This window comes from Homo sapiens, chromosome 4, assembly GCF_000001405.40.
Source record: "Homo sapiens chromosome 4, GRCh38.p14 Primary Assembly".
Lineage (NCBI taxonomy): Eukaryota > Metazoa > Chordata > Mammalia > Primates > Hominidae > Homo > Homo sapiens.
This window is the reverse complement of record NC_000004.12, coordinates 43,409,446-43,411,606: the sequence shown is the minus strand read 5'-3', so window position 1 is coordinate 43,411,606 and position 2,161 is coordinate 43,409,446. Positions and strand designations below refer to the sequence as shown.

General features: G+C 41.4%; 1 pseudogene; it reads left to right on the top strand.

Moving 5' to 3' along the window:
* On the top strand, positions 647 to 1,604 carry RPS2P21 (ribosomal protein S2 pseudogene 21; annotated as a pseudogene).

Below are 2,161 nucleotides of genomic sequence, written 5' to 3'. Positions count from 1 at the left end.
AGAATTAGTGTTAGTTTTTCCTTATAATTTTGGTAAAATTCAGCAGTAAAGCCAGTTTACTGAGCTTTTCTTTGTTGGGAGATTTTTTATTACTGGTTCAATCTTATTACTCATTGTTCTGTTTATGTTCCCTCTTTCTTCCTTGTTCAATCTTGGTAAGTTGCATAAGTCCAGGAATTTATCCATTTTCTCCAGGTTTTCCAACATGTTTAAGCATAGCTTTTCATAACAGTCTCTGACAGTTGTTTATATTTTTGTGGTATTGGTTGTAATATTTCCCTTTTTATTTCTCATTTTGTTTATTTTGGTCATTCTTTTATTCTTTGTTTTATCTAGGTAGCAGTTTACCAATTTTATCTTTTCAAAAAATGTTTTTGTTTAATTCATCCTTTGTATTTTTATTTTTAGTGTCCACTTTGTTTAGTTCTGCTCTAATATTCGTTATTTCTTTTTCCTATAAATTGGGGGTTAGATTTGTTCTTATTTTGGTAGTTTCTTGAGGTACATAGATTATTTTAAATTTTTCTACTTTTTTGATGTAGGCATTTATTATTATAAAATTCTACCTTAACATTGCTTTTGCTATATCCTAAAGGTTTTAGTACATTGTGTTTCTGTTTTCATTTGTTTAAAAATTAACTTCTTTCTTCTTCTCCAAGAAAACACCAAATGGTGGATGACGCTGGTGCAGCGGGGGAGTGGGGGGCCAGAGGCCCTGGTGGCCCTGGGATGGGGAACCACGGTGGCTTCGGTGGAGGTTTCGGCAGTGGCATCCAGGGCCAGGGTAGCGGCCATGGATGGGGCCAGGGCCGAGGCCGTGGAGCTCATGGAGGCAAAGCTGAGGATAAGGAGTGGATGCCCGTCACCAAGCTGGGCCACTTGGTCAAGGACATGAAGATCAAGTCCCTGGAGGAGATCTATCTCTTCTCCCTGCCCATAAAGGAATCAGAGATCATTGACTTATTGACTTTTTCCTGGGGGCCTCTCTCAAGGATGAGGTTTTGAAGATTATGCCGGTGCAGAAGCAGTCCCCTGCCTGCCAGGGCACCAGGTTCAAGGCGTTTGTTGCTGTCGGGGACTACAATGGCCACTTCTGTCTGGATGTTAAGTGCTCCAAGGAGGTGGCCACCGCCATCCGTGGGGCCACCATCCTGGCCAAGCTCTCCATTGTCCCCGTGCGCAGAGCCTACTGGGGGAACAAGATCAGCAAGCCCCACACCGTCCCTTGCAAGGTTACAGGCCGCTGCAGCTCTGTGCTGCTGCACCTCATCCCTGCACCCAGGGGCACTGGCATCGTCTCCACACCTGTGTCCAAGAAGCTGCTTATGATGGCTGGTATCAATGACTGCTATACCTCAGCCCGAGGCTGCACTGCCACCCTGGGCAACTTCGCCAAGGCCACCTTTGATGCCATTTCTAAGACCTACAGCTACCTGGCCCCCGACCTCTGGAAGGAGACCTGTATTTACCAAGTCTCCCTATCAGGAATTCACTGACCACCTCCTCAAGACCCACACCAGAGTCTCCGTACAGCGGACCCAGGCTCCAGCTGTGGCTACAACATAGGGTTTTTATACAAGAAAAGTAAAGTGAATTAAGCCTGTAAAAAAAAGAATTAACTTCTTCATTGAGCTAGTGGTTGTTCAGGAGCATGTTTTATTTCCATCTATTTGTACAGTTTCCAAAGTTCTTTTTATTATTTATTTCTAGTTTTATTTTAAAAAAAATTGTTGAAACCTGTTTTGTGTCCCAATTTATAGTCTATCCTGGAGAAGGTTCCATGTGTTGATGCAAAGAATGTATTTCTGCAGGTGCTGTGTAAAGTATTCTGTAAATGTCTGTTAGGTCCATTTGGTTTAAAGAGCAGTTTAAATCCACTGTTTCTTTGTTGCTTTTCTGTCTAGATGATCTGTCCAATGCTAAGAGTAGGATATTGAAGTCTCCAAATATTAATAATGTATTTGAATCCAATTGCTTTATATACCTGGGTGCATTGGTGTTGGGTTCATATATATTCAGAATTGCTACATCCTCTTGTTGAATTGTTTCTTTTATCATTATATAATGACATTGTTTGTCTATTTTTACTGTTTTTGACTTAAAGTCTGTTTTATCTGATATAAGTATAGCTACACCTGCTTGCTTTTGGTTTCCATTTATG